Source organism: Homo sapiens, chromosome 14, assembly GCF_000001405.40.
Source record: "Homo sapiens chromosome 14, GRCh38.p14 Primary Assembly".
NCBI classification, from domain to species: domain Eukaryota; kingdom Metazoa; phylum Chordata; class Mammalia; order Primates; family Hominidae; genus Homo; species Homo sapiens.
This window is the reverse complement of record NC_000014.9, coordinates 57,001,466-57,020,537: the sequence shown is the minus strand read 5'-3', so window position 1 is coordinate 57,020,537 and position 19,072 is coordinate 57,001,466. Positions and strand designations below refer to the sequence as shown.

Sequence of the window (19,072 nt, the reverse complement as noted above, 5' to 3'; positions counted from 1 at the left end):
GGGCTTTTGAAGAGTTAATATATTTGAATGGCCATCGTAAATTTCCTCTGTATGCATCATTGTGTCTGAGAGTCTGCCTGTCTATCTCACGAAAAGCAAAGGAGAGGTGCTGGCCACAAAAGCAATGACACATTTAATGAGAAGTGAACACTTGCAGACTGGTTTGAGAGTTGGAGATATTTATCAAACTTCAGCCAGAGCTGGGTTTCTCTACCCTTAATTATATGTTCTTCATTTGGGTGTATCTGAAACAATACAATGAAAGGCCTTTTACATTTTTTCCCCACCGAGTTATTATCATTTTTCTTTTGAAAAGGTGCTGCTAATTTGTTATATAAGACTGAGGTAACACTAGTTACACCCCTGTGTATAGCCTCAACACAAAAGCAGTTAAAACTGCAGCAAAGCTAGGATCAGTCTAGTCTCTACTTGTTTACCCTTTGTTTTCTAACTAGCAGGGCTGCTGCTGTTTTACTTTGCTTTAGTGCTGGTGCTGGAGTTTGGCCTTATGTTCAGAGCCTGAAGAAAGTAAGAAATGGTGAGGAAGATGCTTTTACCTTCACTTTGCCATCTCTGGAGCACTGAAAGTATTTCTGTGGCTCTGGACTAACTCTAAGGCCACTTTATAACGTCTGGATTGCCAGTACTTTCTAGGATTTTTTCTAGATCAGGAAGTTTTTCTTGCTCTGAAGAAGGAAGATAACAGCACACAGCAGAGTTAAAATAAATCTGCCTTTATTTTATTTTTATTTTATTTTACTTTATTTTTGCAACAGAGTCCCGCTCTGTTGCCCAGGCTGGAGTGCAGTGGCACAATCTTGGCTCACTGCAAACTCCGCCTCCTGGGTTCAAGCCATTCTCCTGCCTCAGCCTCCCGAGTAGCTGGGATTACAGACGCCCACGACCACGCCTGGCTAATTTTTTTATTTTCGTAGAGATTGGATTTTGCCAAGTTGGCCAGGCTAGTCTTGAACTCCTGACCTCAGGTGGTCTTCCTGCCTTGGCCTGCCAAAGTGGTGGGATTACAGGTGTGAGCCACCATGCCCAGCCCTGCTTTTATATTTTAACTTAATTAAATGGCAGATCTTTTTATTAAATGCCTGCTGTAAGCCTAGCACTGTACTAGGATTAGAAAGAAGGCTATATCTAAATTTACAATTGCTAAATTAAACAGAATTATAAATTAGCAAAGTCACCTTTGTTCATTTCACTCCCTTCCATTTCAGTGGTTCTTGGTCCCTTTCTTTCTTAAATAGCTTTTCTTCCTCCTAATATCCCCCAAAGAATGCAGTCTGAGAGGTGTCAATAGGTGATTTGCGTTTAACAGGCACAGTCTAAGTTTAGAAAATGCGACATTAATAATAAAAACAGCTAACTTTTTTTTTTTTTTTTTGAGACGGAGTCTCGCTCTGTCACCCGGGCTGGAGTGCAGTGGCGCAATCTCGGCTCACTAAAAACAGCTAACATTTTAAGTACTTCTTTGAGCTGGTCAGGGGCTAAGTGTTTTATACTCATCACCTTATTGAATTGTCCCAATACCCCCTGTGAGGGAGGGGCTACTATAATCTTCACTTTGTCTAAGTCACACAACTGTTGGGTGGCAGAGTCACAGTTCTAAGCCAGACAGTGTCCTTAATGACTGTGCCATATTCACCTGCCCCGAAACTAGCAGAAGTACCATTTTTTTACCGTGAGACTTCTCAGAGCCTTTAGTATGCTACAGGGCCTTGGGACTCTCAAGATAAGAATATAGAATACTGTGGCTCCCTACTCATTTGTCTCTGTCCCTTATTTTTCCATGGAAGATCTTGAGAGATTGGAATTCTGCAGAACACATTTTGGGAAATACTGGCCTAGATATTTGTATTTCAGTAAGAGACTTGGAAGATCGAAGTGACTTCAGGAATAATTCTAATCATATTTCAGAAACGACAAGATAAGGAAGAGAGAAGTGTGGCTATGAGGCCTTCCTGTTGCCCCCAAATGACTCTATGCATAATCCTTCTTCTTACTTATAAAACTGGTGGGTTTTTGGAACTTTATTTTTCTGTTGTTAAAGAAAATAAACATAACAGGGTTACTCTAAGGGTGAGTGAAATTGTATGGTAGAAAACACTTAGAAAGATTGAAAATAAAAAAAATAGTCACAGTCATGAATTTCAACCCATTTGCCAAGTCCTCACTGTGTATCTGTCACTGTGCTCTTCTGGTCGGTCTGTGGAGCTGAATAAGACACCAAGCCTGCTCTCAAGCACTGAAAGCTATGCTGTTTTCAAAGCTCTATTGTTTGCAGGTAACATAAACCCACTCAAGCTGGTACAAATAAAAGGCAGTTTATTACAGATCTAGTTCTTACAGACTCTGAGGATAGAAAATCAAGCTGAATGTGGTATTGTAGTGACTGGAAAGCCTCAGAAATGAAGTCTGTTCTGTCTTAGGCTGCAGATCTCTTGTCTTTACTTTTCTCCAGCATCTTCTCTGTTTGCCTGCTTCTCTATATTGACTGACTCGCAGTGTATTAGTCTGTTCTCATGCTGCTAATAAAGATATATCTGAGACTGGGTAATTTATAAAGGAAAGAGGTTCAATGGACTCACAGTTCCACATGGCTAGGGAAGCCTCACAATCATGGTGGAAGACGAAGGAAGAGCAAAGAGATGTCTTACATGGTGGTAGGCAAGAGAGCTTGTGCAGGGGAATTCCCCTTTATAAAACCGTCAGATCTCGGGAGACTTATTTAGTGTCATGAGAACAGCATGGGAAAGACCCACCACAAGATTCAATTACCTCCCACTGGGTCCTTCCCATGACGTGTGGGAATTATGGGAGCTACAATTCAAGATGAGATTTGGGTGGGGACACAGCCCAACCATATCACGCAGTGTCTACTCATCTCACATGTGGCAAAACATGGCACCACTCCTGTGTCCAATGGCCTTCCAGTTCTAGCAATTGCTCTGTTTGTCTCTTAGTTCAAATTCACAAGATAAAGAAATGGGTGGGTCCCATTGGTCAGATGTCTGACTCTGATCATCAGCTGTGCCCGTGGGATGGGTTAATATAACTTATGGCCTCTGAGCAGGGACCATGCCAGGAAAGGCAATGATAGATATGCCTAGTATAAGTATTTACAGAAACAAGGCAATAAGACTGAAGATTATTGGACAATAAGTCTAATCTTTTTTCTTATTTGATTACATTTTTGTGGATCTTTATAGAAAATAGCATTTCAGTGCATCTAGCAGTATATTAGGAATAAGGTTTTTCTTCAATGAAAGATAAGACTTCATAGAATTAGCAATAACTTATCATTCTGGGACCTTAAGGCCCATCCCACACCTTAGATTCAGAGCTTATGTAGGGTTTTCTGGTTTTGTTTTTAAATATCTACACCGTGGAGTTGAGGCCAATCCCTAGCTAGACCATGGATCAGTCTCTTTGGATTCTTCCACTACAGGCTTAGAAATCTAAAGATTATTGGAAGAGGCCAGGTGCGGTGGCTCACGCTTGTAATTTCAGCACTTTGGGAGGCCAAGGTGGGTAGATAACCTGAGGTCAGGAGTTTCAGACCAGCCTGGCCAACATGGCAATATCCTGTCTCTACTAAAAATATAAACGTTAGCCAGACATGGTGGTGGGTGTCTGTAATCCCAGCTACTCAGGAGACTGAGGCAGGAGAATCACTTGAACCCAGGAGGCAGAGGTTGCAGTGAGCCAAGATGCACCTGGATGACAGAATGAGACTTGGTCTCTGGGAGAAAAAAAAGATTATTGAAATTATTATTATTAAGAAATTTAAGATGGACTAAACTTAAAAGAGTTGATCTTCTAAGAACCATGTCCTTAAGGATGAGTTTAGTACAGGGACGACCTAAGATGTCCAGAATGGAAGGAAGCAACATTTTAATCCTACTTGCAACTAACTAGTCTGCCCCATAGATATGATGGAAATAAAAGCTGAGTTACTTAATTTTTCATAAATTCTGGCTAGACTTTTTTAAACAAATGTAACACATATCATCATTAACAAAAAGTTAATAGAGAAGTAGGTGGTATTTTATTGCTGAATAGCATCTTTTCTCCTAGTTCTTTTCTTTCATCCAAGAGGATACTCTGAAGTGGAAAACGGAAAAACTACAGTAAGGTTTGTTTTCACTTTCTGGAGGAGGGAGTATCCTTCATATTAGCTCGATTTTAAATGGACTTAGTAAATAGTTTCCTCCACTGAGAAAGATTTGCCTCTTGCTCAGCAGCCATGAAGTTGATAAGCTAAGAGAGAGAAGCCTAGCATTGTATGGAATGTGTATGGCAAATAAATGGTGGAAGTATTGACAAAGCAGAAGCAACAGAGGGCATTTCTTGCTGTTAGGGCAGCAACCTTTTGTACTATAAAAGTACACGGAGCAATTCTCAGAGGGACCCAGTAAAACCTCTAGACAACTACAGGCAGTACCCTGGCAGAAGATGTCCACCATCAACTCTCTAGGGAAGGAGAGTTCATATTGACATGAGACCATGGTACATCTAAGTTAATTGTCAGTCATTCTATATATAAATTCCCTCATGGTGTTATTCAGATATTTTCCAATAGTTTATTCATAAAAGAACCTCATTTAGATTTCATTGCTGTGGACTATCTAAACTGGGATACACCTTAATTGTACCCATTCAGGTACAGCTTAAATGGATAGCACACACTTGGGCCTTTTGGAGGGTGAAAGGGTGGGAGGAGGAAGAGGATCAGGAAAAATAATTAATGGGTACTAGGCTTAATACCTGGGTGATGAAAGGATCTGTACAACAAACCCCCATGACACAGGTTTACCTATGTAACAAACCTGCACTTGCACCCCTGAGCTTAACATAAAAGTTAAAAAAAGAAAAGATATTTTTTAAAAATATAAATTACACCTTTATAAAATAAAAAATCTTAGAAAGAAGGAACATCCTATCAGACATGAAATGATAATGCAAACTTTGATCTTCATTAGAGGAAGGACTGCAACTCTAGAGCTGAGGCATGGATCGGGAGACGCATCAAGCAGCTAAGATTGGCAGTGCATGCACCAGAAGAATACGTGATGTGAAGGCAGCCCAACTTCTGATTCCAAGGGTCCAGGAGAGATGCATGGCCACCTGAAAGGTATGCATATCACTTACTTTGTAAACATTTAGAGACCATTTATTATGATCTCTAACGGAGATGTCAGGCTCTTAATGTTTCACATGTATCAATTTACTTAATTCTCATAACAACCTTTTGAGGTGGGTGCTATAGCCTATTTTACAGATTGAAAAACTGAAGCAAAAACTAATTTAGTAATTTGCCTAAGGTCATGTAGTTAGTACATGGTGCAGCCAGGATTCAAATCTAGGCAGTCTGGCTCCAGAGCACACAGTCTTTTGGCATCTCATTTCAATTGGAAGGTCAGTTCTTTATTTTTCTTGCAGTCTTTCTCAACATCCTAGATATTTGAGGAAATCCACCAGAATCCATCCTAGACAATAGCCAAGAGTTGAGATAAGTAAAAAAAAAAAAAAAGTGGGGGGTTGGGGGGGTGCAGGCAGGATGTTTTTCTCATGGAGTTTACATGTTAATGGGGAAGACAGACCATAGCAAATAAACAAGTGAATATATAGCACATTGGGTCATGATGAGGGTTATGAAGAAAAATAAAATATGGCAAGAAACTAAGATTGATGAACAGATAGTATTATATTAGATAGGGTGGTCAGGAAGGCCTCTGCATTAACATTTCAGCAGAGGCCTTAATAACACATCCTCTTCACAGTTTATTCCTAATAAACAGTTCCTTTAAAAGACTGTACCTTTTATATTTCAGACTTGAGCCTTTGTGGGTTTTATTATAAATATATAGAGCTAATAAATAAGCACACTGCTATACAGCTATCATGTCCCTACTGACATGGACAAGGACATTGTAAAAAATAAAACAACAGGAAAATACAACATCAATATCCCTTCTAAACTCGCAGCAAAAATTCTTACAAAAATATTAATAAATCATATTCAACAATGTATTTTTAAAATGAACACATTATGACCAAGGAAGGTTTATCCCAGGAATACAAGGGATGTATTTAATCACAATTAAAGGAGAAAAGACATATAATAATTTCCATAGTCATAAAAAGCTTTTGACAGAATTCAACATCAATTTATGATTTTAAATAACTGTCAGCAAATTAGGAAAAGGGAAATTCTTTAATTCAACAAAGGGCATTCATAGGAAACCTACAGCTAATATGCTTAATGATAAGAAATTGAATGCTTTCCCTCTGGGATTGGGAACATTGTACAGATGTTTGTTCTCACTACTTCTACTTAACATTTTACTGGGGGCTCTCGCCATTGCAATAAGACAAGATAAATAAATAAAAGTCATAAATATTAGATAGGAAAGAATTAAAATTCCTTATTTGCTAAAGACATGATTATTTATATAGAAAATTCTAAGGAATCTAGAACACAACAATTAGAATTAATAAGTAAATTTAGTAAGATCATAAGATGCAACGTTAATATAACAAAATCAATTATATATTTATATACTAGTCTCAAGCAACTGGAAATTAAAGGAGATCAGTATATTGAAGAGATATCTGCACTCCATGTTTGTTGCAGCACTGTTCAGAATAGCTAAGAGTTGGAAGCAAACTAAGTGCTCATCAACAGATGAATGGATAAAGAAAATGTGGTACATATACATAATGGAATACTATTCAGCCATAAAAAAGAATGAGATGTAGTCATTTGCAACAACATGGATGGAACTGGAGATCATTATGTTAAGTGAAATAAGCCAGGCACAGAAAGGCAAACATCACATGTTCTCACTTATCTGCAGGATCTAAAAATCAAAACAATTGAACTCATGGACACAGAGAGTAGAAGGATGGTTACCAGAGGTCAGGAAGGGTAGTTGGGGGCTAGTATGGGGGTGGCGGGTGATGGTTAATGGTACACAAAAAGTTGGAAAGAATGAATAAGTTAGAAAGAATAAATAAGACCTACTATTTGATAGCACAACAAGGTGACTATAGTCAATAATAACTTAATTGTACATTTAAAAATAACTAAAAGAGTAGAATTGAATTGTTGGTAACACAAAGGATAAATGCTTGAGAGGTTGAATACCCCATTATCCCTGATGTGATTATTTTGCATTGTATGCCTGTATCAAAACATACCCCATAAATATATACACCTACTATGTACTCACAAAAACTGAAAATAAAAAAAATTAAAAATAGGAAAATAACATTACTTGATTTCCACTTACTATAAAATCACAAAATTTAATTGATGAGAGGATAAATATATAGATCAATAAAACAGAATAGGGAGTCAGAAATAGACCCATATATATGATTAATTGATGTTTCAATAAAGGTGCCAGGAAATCCAATAGGGAATGGAAAAATCTCTTCAACAAATGGTGCTGGAATAATTGATTATCTGAATGGGAAAAAAATTAAACACAGACTTTTATCTTACCTCATACACTAAAGTTAACCTAAAATAGATCACCTACCTAAATGTAAAAGGTGAAATTATAAAATTTTTTAAACAAAATGTAGAGGAAAAAAATCTTTGCAAACTTGGGATAGGCAAATATTTCTTACATAAGCTATAAAAAGGCACACGGTATAAAACATAGAATTGATAAATTGGACTTTATCAAAATTTAAAATGTTTGTTCTTCAAAATACACCATTAAATAAACAAAAAGTGAATCACAGAATGGAAGAAAATGTTCTTTCTCCCATTTTATATATGCAAAAATAACTCTTGCAAATCAATAAAACAAAAAAATTTTAAGTGGGAAAGAGATTTGAACAAACAGTTCACAAAATAAGATATGGATGGTGAATAAACATATCATTCATCATAGAGAAATGCAAATTAAAACTATAATGAGATTCTATAACACACTTATTAGAATGGCTAAAATTAAGACTGACAACATCAAGTGTTGAAGAGGACATGGGGCAACTGGAACTCTCATACACTACTAGTAAGAATGTAAAACAGTACAATCACCTTGGAAAACATTTTGGCAATTTTTCAAAAGTTAAGCATATACCTACTGTAAGACCCAGCCATTCTACTACTAGGTGTTTACCCAAGAGTAATGAAAACGTATGTTCATACAAAGACTTTTACAAGGATGTTCTTTACACTTTTATTTATAATAGGCAAAAACTGGAAACAACTCAAACATCCACTAATTGGGCAATGGATAAACAAAACATGGTATATCCAAATAATGGAATATTACTTAGTAACAAAAAGGAATGAACTACTGATATACACAACAAAATGAGTGAAACTCAAAAATCAATATGCTGAGTCAAAGACACCAGATCCAAAGATGTACAAATTGTATGATTCCATTTATATAATATTCTAGAAAATGCAAGGTGTGTTATAGTGACATAAGCCAAATCAGGGGTTGCCTGGGACCAGGAGTGGAGGGAGGAATCACTGCAAAGAAGCATGAGTTACCATTTTCAGTTGATGGGGATAGTCTGCATTCTGCTGGTGGTGATGGTTTCACAGATATATACATTTGTCAAAACTCTTTGAACTGTACCCTTAAAATGGGTGCACTGTATTGTATTAAATTATTTCTCAATCAGTTTGAAAAAATAAAAGTACTATTTGGTTCATTTTCAAACCTACTGTCATTTTGATAGTTTCTTATTGTTAATGCATTTTAGTGATTCCTATTTTAATTTTTAAAAACATTTTATACCTGTTTATTTTGCATTCTGTATCTGACAAATTCTGATAATTTCATCCTAGAAGATCCAAGTCTGTTATTTATTGTTTTTTGCTGACTCTCGCTTACAGAGGATTATTTTCCTGTGGGATTGGTGATCTTTGGTTGTAAGATTAGATTTCATTAATCTTAATCCCCTGAAAACCTGGGAGTCTAACCTGATGATGGTTTACTTCTGACAGAATTTGGATTTGCTTTGAAAGAGATCCAGGAGAACTACTGAGCTGAGGGCACACCATTTCCTACCAGGTTTTCTGGTTTAATGGCAGGACCCAGCCCAAAGTTGAGTCCACCTCGGTCCTGCCCTCAGAGAAACCCGGCATGCTCTTTCTACTCACAAGTTCCAGTTCCAACTCATGAACTTCCCCTTTACCCCAACATCCAAAAGTTTCCCTCCATCTTGCAAGCTCAACTACATGGTATAAAATATAGTACATGCAGAATCAATTTTTACAGCAAGAGCCTCAATGAGTCTGTCATACTGCATGTTTACACTTACCTTTTTTAGTCTCAGAGAAAAGAAAAATAAGCCCTAAAAGGTAAAATGATGGCCCTGCCTTTAAAGGGTTTTGAACTGAAAATAGATATGGTAATATGCATCATATTCCTAACCCAGGCTCTTTCTCCAAATCTGATAATGGGCAGCAAAGCTAAGTGCTACTTATATATAGCTATCCGTTTTGTACCAACATTGAGGAGAGAAATGTTATAGGCCAGGGATAATGTAACAAAACAACTCCACAGAGAACAAGGGAGTCATATGAAAATTTAGAGCATAATATTTATCCCAACTAAAATAACTTACAAAGAGGGTGGCTATGGCTTTTCACAATTGTCAATATTTTTCCCTTTGAATTTTTACCCAACCTATATTTTATTTATCCTTAGGAAATAATTTATAGTGATTTTAATTATTTGGATATTGAATATTTGCTCTATTTCAAATGTAATAGGCTACTTAGAATGACTAGCTTACCCACAGGATTTTTGAGGTTGACAGTGGTGGAGAGCTGTGTCTAATTCCAGATTTCAGTTCCTGTCTCTCTTTACATAAAAAAAAAAATGGTGTAAAAAGTTCATTGAATGTTTTAATTAGCATGCAAGCTGAGTCTCAAATCCAAAGGAAAATCTAACACTATTTTTAGTTGCATCTAATGCAAGGTGAAAAGAGAGTAACACGTTGGAATAGTACAGGGTAAAGGATTATTCATATTTACAATAATAATATAATCATTTAATAAGTACCCACCATGTACTAAGAGCTGAAGGAACATTTTGTTTTTTTTCTGATTAATACATGACCATAGTGGGGAATTACAGTGGTTTATTGTTCTGGTTTATGATCTTGGTCTGAATTCAGGATAAAGTAGCAATGTGCCAGCTTCAGAGCCTCATATACTTTCCTTATTACCTGGCTGAGTGACAGGGATGTGGGTTCCTATTTTTTTCTTAGTCTCAAGTGCGTAACCAACCTGCTGAAAAACATTGCTTTGGTTAGCCAATCAGGAAACAGAAATTAAGGGACTGCCTCGTCCTGCTCTATTTTACTGAATGAACTTGCCTGAATCACTTGGAGACCAAATTCTTCCTGGTTACAGTCTGCATCACATTCAACTATTATCTGTGGGTTTCCTTGGCTGGGCAGCTAGGGGTGGCTAATGATGAGAGGCATATCCAAATCCCAGGAAGCCTCCTCAGGCTTTGAACTAAACTTTGGGACGTGACAGGACCTGGCAAAAATGGAAATACCTTCCCTGACATTTTCGCTCATGTTTTTCTAAATTCACTTTCAGATAAGGGCAGTGAGTTTGCTAGAGTGGGAAGTGCTGACAGACAAAGTGTAGTCTACTACAAAATTCTTCCTGGCACTCTAATTATCCTTTCCTTCTCTACTTCAGTATCACATGTAGCCATGTGTAGAATCATAAAATAATTATGCAGTGTACAAGCTTTCTGGGAGCATGTACCACTGTTTTCCTAATTCTTTATCTCTCCCATTGATCGTGGTGTGTGTGCATTGATCCAAGTCGGCCATCTGGTTAGGCAAGATAAGCATGCTAGTGTCTTTGCATTGCACTGTCACGCGGGGAGGGGGCACATTTTGGCTGTAGGGAATTACGGGGGCAGGATTAGCCCTCTTCCTATGAGGAAACTGAATTTTAAATGCAATGTTGCAGCTGCATGGACCATGTTGCTAACTTCTGTTTTTGCCATGAACTGGGTAGAATTTTCTTCTTGTTCATATTGTCTCCAAAGGTATAGAGATGCCTTGTATTAAATAGAGGGGGTTGGAATGGAGAGAAGATTCATTTTTAACACATGTTAGACTTGCGAGTGACTGATACATTAGAGGATTTCTATATGGTAAAATTGCTTTCAAATGACTACAAAAGGTTGCTGAATAAAAAGCATTTTAAACTGAGACTTGTTGGGCACCCCCCCAAACAAAATTATTTTCGAGAGGAAAGATATTTGTATTAGTCTATGAAAAAAGAAAAGGAAAGAAAATAGAAAAAATATATACGCATGTATCACAGCAGAAGGAATTACTGCATGAAGCTCAGAATGGGACCGTTGGATATACTCTTCATTTGTTTATCTCTTTCTTTCACGTATTGAAATGAATGTTTGCCCCAAGTTTATGACCACTGGGACTGACTGAATGTGCTATTTAATTCAAAGAGACTTTTTTCCAGCCCTGTTGGCCACTGTTGTTTTTAAAATTTGATTGCAGCCATTGTTGTCTCATATTCTGCAAATGTGTGGAAGACTCAAAAGCTTTTCCTCTAAAATTGAACAATTCTGTCAAAAAAGATTAGTTCTATTTTGTCTGCTGGGTGCTGACTATTCATGAATGTAAAGAGAGAGGGCTTGGGTGTCATACTAAGTTGCTAAGGTGGCTGGATTTCGGCTATTGACTTGAGGATACCAAACTGGAGGCTACAAAAGAGCAGCCAGAAGGAGAGGGAGAGACGGCCTGCCATGTGTTTAGCTATACCTTCTTTAGCTGCCCATTTATTTCTTTTGTTGCCAGAACTTTTATTGTCATACAGTTGAAAAAAATGTTAGACACAAGCTTCAGGCAGCACCAAGCAGAAAAAGGGATTAGCATATCACTAGGATCATCTTACACTGAACCAAATTCTTTTCAGGATGTATAATTAGCGAATACAGTCCTTTTTTTTTTTTTTTTTTTTTGAGCCTATGGACAGGAAAAAATGAGCTCAGATCTCTGGCTAGAATATTAGAGGAAATAAAAGACATTTGCCAATTTCAGAGAGATATATACATATTAACTGTTTCTTCGCAGAGCTTTTGCAATTCCCTCAAGAAATGTCTGGTTGAATGGGAAAACTTGCTATGAATTCTGGTTATTGTCTCAGGTTTTCTAAAAGGAAAACACTCTGTAGTTGAACACACTCAAAATTTTAGACCGATGAAATCAGATTCAGGATTAAATGAATGTAGAACTTTTCTGAGCAGGGGGAACTAAAAGGAAATGTGTGGTTTTCACACGATGATATTGTAGTCTGCAGAAGGTACTTTGACAGTAATTAAAAATATAATCGGGAAGTTAAAGGCAGTAAAATGTACATTTTGGGTCTGTTAGTAAATAATTCTGTGGGGCTCACTTAAAGCTGTCTGAAACTTCCTGTATAATTTGTGGGTGTTAAATATGTTTATCTGAAGTAAGAAAATGGAAGTCTTGGATTGCTTCCCTTTTAAATCCTCTTTTCTTCTTCACTTCTGTTCTCTTCTCTTCTCTTCGTTGTACGTTTAAGCTGTTTTACACACAGCATGTAGGTAAAAGCAGATTTGTCTAATTAATTCATATTTAACTGGATGGATATCTATTTACATTTCCAGATATGCAGGCTTTTGGAGAAGCACATTGAGAGTGAAGGGAGAAAAAGAACCTTTTATGCAAAAGTGTATTTTTAAGAATTAACAGAATATTCACTAAAAGTAAAAGTGCTTATCTGCATACATCTCAGTTTAAATTTCTCAAGGTAGATGATGTTTTTGTTTAACAGAGGAGGCATTGCTATGTTGGTTTGTGTGCTTAGAGATTCTTTATTACAGTAGTTATTACTTATCTTCATTTTTTTTTCACTCTTCTGTGGATGGCATCACCCTGTGCCACTGTCCCCCCAGCCCCCAAATAAATCACAGAATCCTAGCCTTAATTCTGGTTCAGTTTCATATCATATTTCTTAAGGACACTCTTAGCTTGTCTTTGAGACACTAATTTTTTTAAAAAAACATGTTTTAACTATTAACAAGAGTAATGCAAACTCGGTTCCATAGGAAGCAGCTATTTCAAGTTTTACAAGCCTTAAGATACTAGGGAAAAGATTCATTGAGCTTTTCCTTGGAATTAGAGAACCCAATCCTGGCTCTTTATTTACTTATTGATTCTCTTTTGGAATTTTTGGTCAAATGTCTTTCTGTTGGCTAGAAATAGACTGTGAACCTAGGTAGCACAGAAGACTCAATTGTGTTGTCTTCATTTAGAGAAAATCACTTTAGTTTGCAATGGTTATGTCTCCACGGGAGTTGATGTGCAGAATTAGAAACATGACAAAAAAGAAAGAATAAAAATAAAATTACTGTAAAAATGTGAATTTGGATATCATTCTTTAATTACTTTAATTATCATAGCAGATAAAAGAGTCACTCTTTGTTATTTTAATATTTATAGTTTGTAACATCTATATTTTTCCTCTGACATTTACTTGTGGACAGAAATATCGGTGGCTACAAGGAGCTAGCTACATACATAGTTGCTCATGATATAACATGGTCTTCAGTCGCTAACACTTTTGCTAATTTTCTAAGGACACACTTTAATCAAACTTGCGATTTGCTGTTCCCAAATCATTGGCTCTTTATTATTCACATAAGTTTTTTGGTTTTGCACCTGCTCAGTTCACACTACTTAGATTCTTCTCATGCATAAGCACACTTACACCCTCACAGATCAGAGATGTGGGCTTCCTTTCAGGGGGACCGGCCCTCAGAAACATGGCTCTTAATAGTCTAGAAAATAAGAGAATGATTCTTAAGTCTAGAGTCCAAATTGTTGAATTCAGAGAAATGTAATGTCAGCCAGACATAGAATATCCTCTGTTGGGTAAACTAAAAGTGAGGTCTGAAGAGTTTTTTTTTTTTTTCCAGGACTTGAAAGCAATGGCATTGCAGAATAGAGGGCTTCCTAAAAAGCAATTTTTACGTTATTCTGGACCTGGAATAGCACAATGTCAGGAGTAGACAGGGAAAAAAGGAGTGTGGCCAGGAATAAGAACTCAGCATGGGACAGAGAATTCAGAAAGGTAATGAAGTGGAGGGAAAGGCTCAGAGAAGAGGTGATGACAAACTTCCTATTTTAGAGTTTTATGAAGACCAAAAACAGAGAGACAGTCAAAATATCTTTCTGAATATCAGGTTTGAGCTTTAAAATAAAAGTCATTTGTGATTAACCAAAATATAGTTTGCTAATCAACAGAATCCATGTTTTTTTAGCTCATCAATGTATCACTAGCAGTGCGATTTTTTATACAGAATATTGCATATACACACTTTTTACATTGCATACATAGTATTATGCTATTCAGATTAACCTACTTGACCTTTCTTTGATATATTCATAATGTCCCTTGTAAAGTTAAACCTCCATGATGGCAGTAGCTATTTAATATAATGCGTCAGGCTAGGTGCGGTGGCTCATGCCAGTAATCCCAGCACTTTGAGAGGCCAAGATGGACAGATCACCTGAGGTCAGGAGATCGAGACCAGCCGACCAACATGGTAAAACCCCATTTCTACTAAAAATACAAAATTACCCGGGTGTGGTGGCACATGTCTGTAATCCCAGCTACTGGGGAGGCTGAGACAGGAGAATCGCTTGAACCTGGGAGGTGGAGGTTGCAGTGAGCTGAGATCACACCATTGCACTCCAACCTGGGCAACAAGAGCGAAACTCAGTCTCAAAAAAATAATAATAATAAAAAATAAAAAATATAACTTGTCATCAAGTTCAGTGCCACACAGTCGTTAACACCCTTAGCTAAATTATTTTGAATTCTATGATTAGATATGCTTTGAAGATACAAATAAGATTCTCCGAAAACATGGGCATGGTAAATATGACTCTAGCCTAGTAAACCTCATGACTCCTGTTAGGGATGAACAAAGACACTTGCCTTTTTAAACATATAATAATGCCATAGTTCACATTTTAAAGATATTAGCTTCTTTTAATGTATACAAGTAGGATTTTAAAACCGTTTTTTGCAGATAGGCGCTGTATAAATTATTATTTATTTTTCCAAATGTCATTTGCTCTATATTACAAAATCCACTGGCTTTTTTGACTCTGACTATGTACACAGCTATTAAGAAAGAGGAGACGTTCCAGTCTTAGGAGTAAAAATTGTCATGATGACAATAAGAATGTGTCCATTTTTAACAATGTGATAAAAGCATGGGTCCCTCTCAGACATAACTACAAAGACAGATGTTACAAATAATGTTTAGAAGAGAATAACATTATGAGTCGTGTGTGACATATTCTGATTAATCTATTTTACTGATTAATCTATAATGTGAAAACAAGAGGCTATTTTATTTTAGTGGCTAGTTTTGATTGAGCTCTAACCAAGGTTGGGGTTCCACTCTAAGGGTTTTACAATGATCATCTCATTTGGTCCTAGTAACCCTATGAAATATGGATTGTTATTATTGTTATACCCTTCCTATTGAGGAGGAAACTGAGATTCATGGAGGTTAAGTAACTGGCCCAAGGTCATGCATCTGGTGGGTGGTGAAGCTGGGTTCAAAACCAGGTAATCTGACTTGAGTTTGTTTTAACCACAACACTACACTAGCCTTTTACATGTGCAATAGAATTGAGAATACAAAGTTACATCTAGGCTTGCAGGATTATTATAGTGGGACGTATACCTCTAGGCAGGCAGAGAGGATATATGTAGAGTCAATAGGACTAGCCAGATAGCAATTGTCATAAGATCCTGCACTCCCGGTTTGGAGATTTAATCCAGGCCTCTAGATGCATAGGATGTGAGAGGTGGAAAGGAGTTAATAATTCATAACTTTAACCCTGTTATTTTACAAATGAAGGAACTGAGATGCAGAGAGGTAAAATGACTTACACTGTCAATGGCACACTGAGACTAGAACTCCCAGTTCTCTTAAACACACACAGACGCACACACACAACTTCACCTTTTTTTCTTTTGTACTTCTTGCTGCCAAGACATCTTTTAGACATAGGAAAATAGCACTTTTGTTCTAAGTTAGGCTCACACTCACACTCATAGAAATGAATTTGCTCTGGAAAAACCTGTATTGCCTTTTGACTTGAATAGATGAGGAAATGGTCTACAATGTGACAAAGCAGAGAGCAGAGCTTTGAAGAGGAGTGATACGTTTTCTTTTTCCATTTTATAAATTCTCATCACCATTTTTCAAAGCCATATTTTTTTGGTTAATAAGTGTTGTAAGATATTTATTTAAGCAATGTTTTGGACTTGAATTCACAAAACTTTGAACTCTTAACCTGCTGCCACTAACTTAAATCTTGTTCAAATATAGAAGGTTAATTCAATATACATTTTTTCCTCATGTTGTCTATTTCAATTATTACAAGACCTGTCAAGGTAAACAATGATATGGCATTTTTGGCAAAAGATATACCTGAATTATAAAATGGTCGGCTCAGGCCTGTATCTGTGGCTTCATATCCCAACCACTCCCATGTTAGTTTAGTGTCAAAAGTTAGCATTTACCAAGGAGGAAAGTGAGTTGGTCCCCAAAGAAAAGGAGTTTTGTTTTTACTACTGGGAGAATGTAGTCTTCATTAGGTAAACAAAGAGGGTTTTCATTACATTGTAAACACATTTCACAAAAAAAAAGACCCCATTTAAGTTTCTTTTTAAAGAAACTGGAAAATATTAAGAGAGTTAATTGGAGGTCACTCAAATGACAATTAATGAGCAGGCCCAATTATCTTCTGACTACTGTGGGGCTTAGAGATGTTTTTATCTTTTATTTATGGCACGAGTTTAAAATGTGGGCATGCCAACCCAAGGAGAGGCAGGCACAATATTAAATGACAGATTTCTCTATTTATATTTAAATAACCATCTGCATGAAATTATGCACAAATCATGGAATAATTCCTAGCAGAAATTACTGTTTAGAAAATAAAAAAAAATCTGAGACATGGTGTGCTTTTCATATTAAATTGCCCATTTCCAGAACATCACATACATTTGCACAATGTAAAGATGCTGCATTGCAGGACCAATACAAATTGCTTACAATGTTAATGAAGATGGATGGGGAAGGCTGAAAAACATTCATTTATGAGCACAAGAGAAAACGAGAGCAGCGATGTTCACAATCTCTAATTTTTTTGCCTTCATAATATCCAACTGAATGATGGTAACTTGAATAATACAGCTCTTGGGGAGGTTTTGTGATACATTTTTATTGTCGGTTGTGAATATGGTCTACTTTTTCCCATTTGGGGTGAAAATTGTGCATGCGCAGTTTGGAGGCTTGCAGCTAAGCTAGGAAAAAGACTCTTACTCTGAAGAACCATGAACAGGGTAGACTGACTACAAAATTTAAATAACCTTTAAAATCAAAAAGAAAAAATAATACTTCCTCATACTAAAAAGACTCCCCTTCCAACTAAAGATATGTTACTTTTCTCCCTCCGTTCTACCCCAGGCAAACCATCCACCCTTCCCAAAGCTCCTCAGCCAAGGGGCAGCTGTGGTTGAATCTATGGAGAGTAGGACATGCTCTGAGGACAGGGAGATCTATGCCAGGACGACAGCATCAGAGCCTCCCTCGGCCCATTGCAGCACACCACCCTTTGCCTAAATTGTAAGAGGTTGAGGAATGAGCATATGTATCGGGAAAGGAGGGGTCACCCTTTACCAATCAGTGAAGGGACCTGATGCTGCCCCACCAAGGCTTCATCTCCACTGTTCCCACCAACTCCTTCCAAAACCTTACATCCAGCTTCATCTCTCAGTTAGCCAGGACTCCTTGATATCCCCGGACAATTACTGGACTTTCCTTTGCTTTGAAGGTAGTATCTCCATTTTCCAACGTCCCTCAGAAGAGTGAAATCAAGGCACAGAGTCACTCAATCAGATATTTCAAAAAGCTGCTGCTCTGCGGGCCCCATGATAATTGAGTTCTACTCATTCAATCATCCCTGTTCGCTAATTTGTTTACTCGTTTGTTCAACAAGTATTTGTTGAGGTCAGTTCTATGTGAGATACTGGGAATACCACTGTGGACAAGAAAGATACAATCCCTGTCACCACAAAGCTGACAGACCCATGAGCAATACAAGATACTAAAGGTAAACAAAGGATACATAACCCAGACTAAGGAAGTCAAGGAAGACTTCCCAGAAGTAAGAATCTAAGCTAAGACCTGAATTGATTGAGCATCTATTTTGTGCAAGATGCTGCACTGGATTCTGAGGTCTAAAAATAACTATGAGTTAGTTTGACCAGCTGGTAGGAAGGGCACAAATAACAACAAGCAGATATAATTAGTGCCATTAAGTAGGAACAACAAATGTTTAGGAAGAGGGACCCATTCCAATTTGGAGGGCAGAGAAAACTTCATGAACAAAATGATTTAAAATTAGTCTTGAAGAATGACTGGACATGAGTTCAGAAGTAGAGTCAAAAGCCAGGCAGTCCCGGTGAAGAGCTATGAGCAAGGCTGCAGAGATGAGAAATTCTGAGAGACAAGAGTGGTCGTGTTTCCCTAGAGAGTAGGAAGAGCAGGAGGACATATGCTAAAGAACTCTGGAGAAATGGACCATGTCTTTTGGAAGACTGACTGCCCCAGGGAGGACTCAATGGCAGGCACTGCCCTCTGGGTGGTGCTCTACTAGCCCACCCTCGTTGATGTCCTTGGAAGGGGCATGAGGTATGTGTGCCCAGGGACCCCATGGGGCTTAGGACCCACTATTCCTACAAATAAAGAACAGCCAGGGGGCTGGATCACTTGGACCGTTCACAAGTCCTAGGAACCAAGGTGCCTTCTTCAGCCCTGAGGCACACAATAGGATCTTATTGCAGAAGAGCTTGAACAATGCATTGGGCAGCCACTCTGGTCCAGTCTCTGTACAGAGACGAAGAGACCCACATGGATATGGTGCTAACATTCAGCGAGGGAATAGCCGTGACCTGTAAGAAATCATTTACAAC

At 37.5% G+C, this 19,072-nt stretch overlaps 1 long non-coding RNA gene across 1 annotated transcript in view, besides 1 other annotated feature; it reads left to right on the top strand.

Moving 5' to 3' along the window:
- The first annotated feature begins 2,853 nt into the window (after positions 1 to 2,853).
- Positions 2,854 to 19,072, top strand: part of LOC124903323 (uncharacterized) — a 63,861-nt gene continuing 47,642 nt past the window's right edge. The window contains exon 1 of the long non-coding RNA XR_007064191.1: positions 2,854 to 5,143. This is a non-coding gene — a long non-coding RNA (uncharacterized LOC124903323). The remainder of the gene's footprint in view (positions 5,144 to 19,072) is intronic.
- Positions 9,166 to 13,112: an enhancer, noted in NCBI's record as "VISTA enhancer hs1791". NCBI's record gives its function as "enhancer in: midbrain (mesencephalon)[15/15]" and the evidence as "EXISTENCE:transgenic organism evidence [ECO:0001131][PMID:17130149]".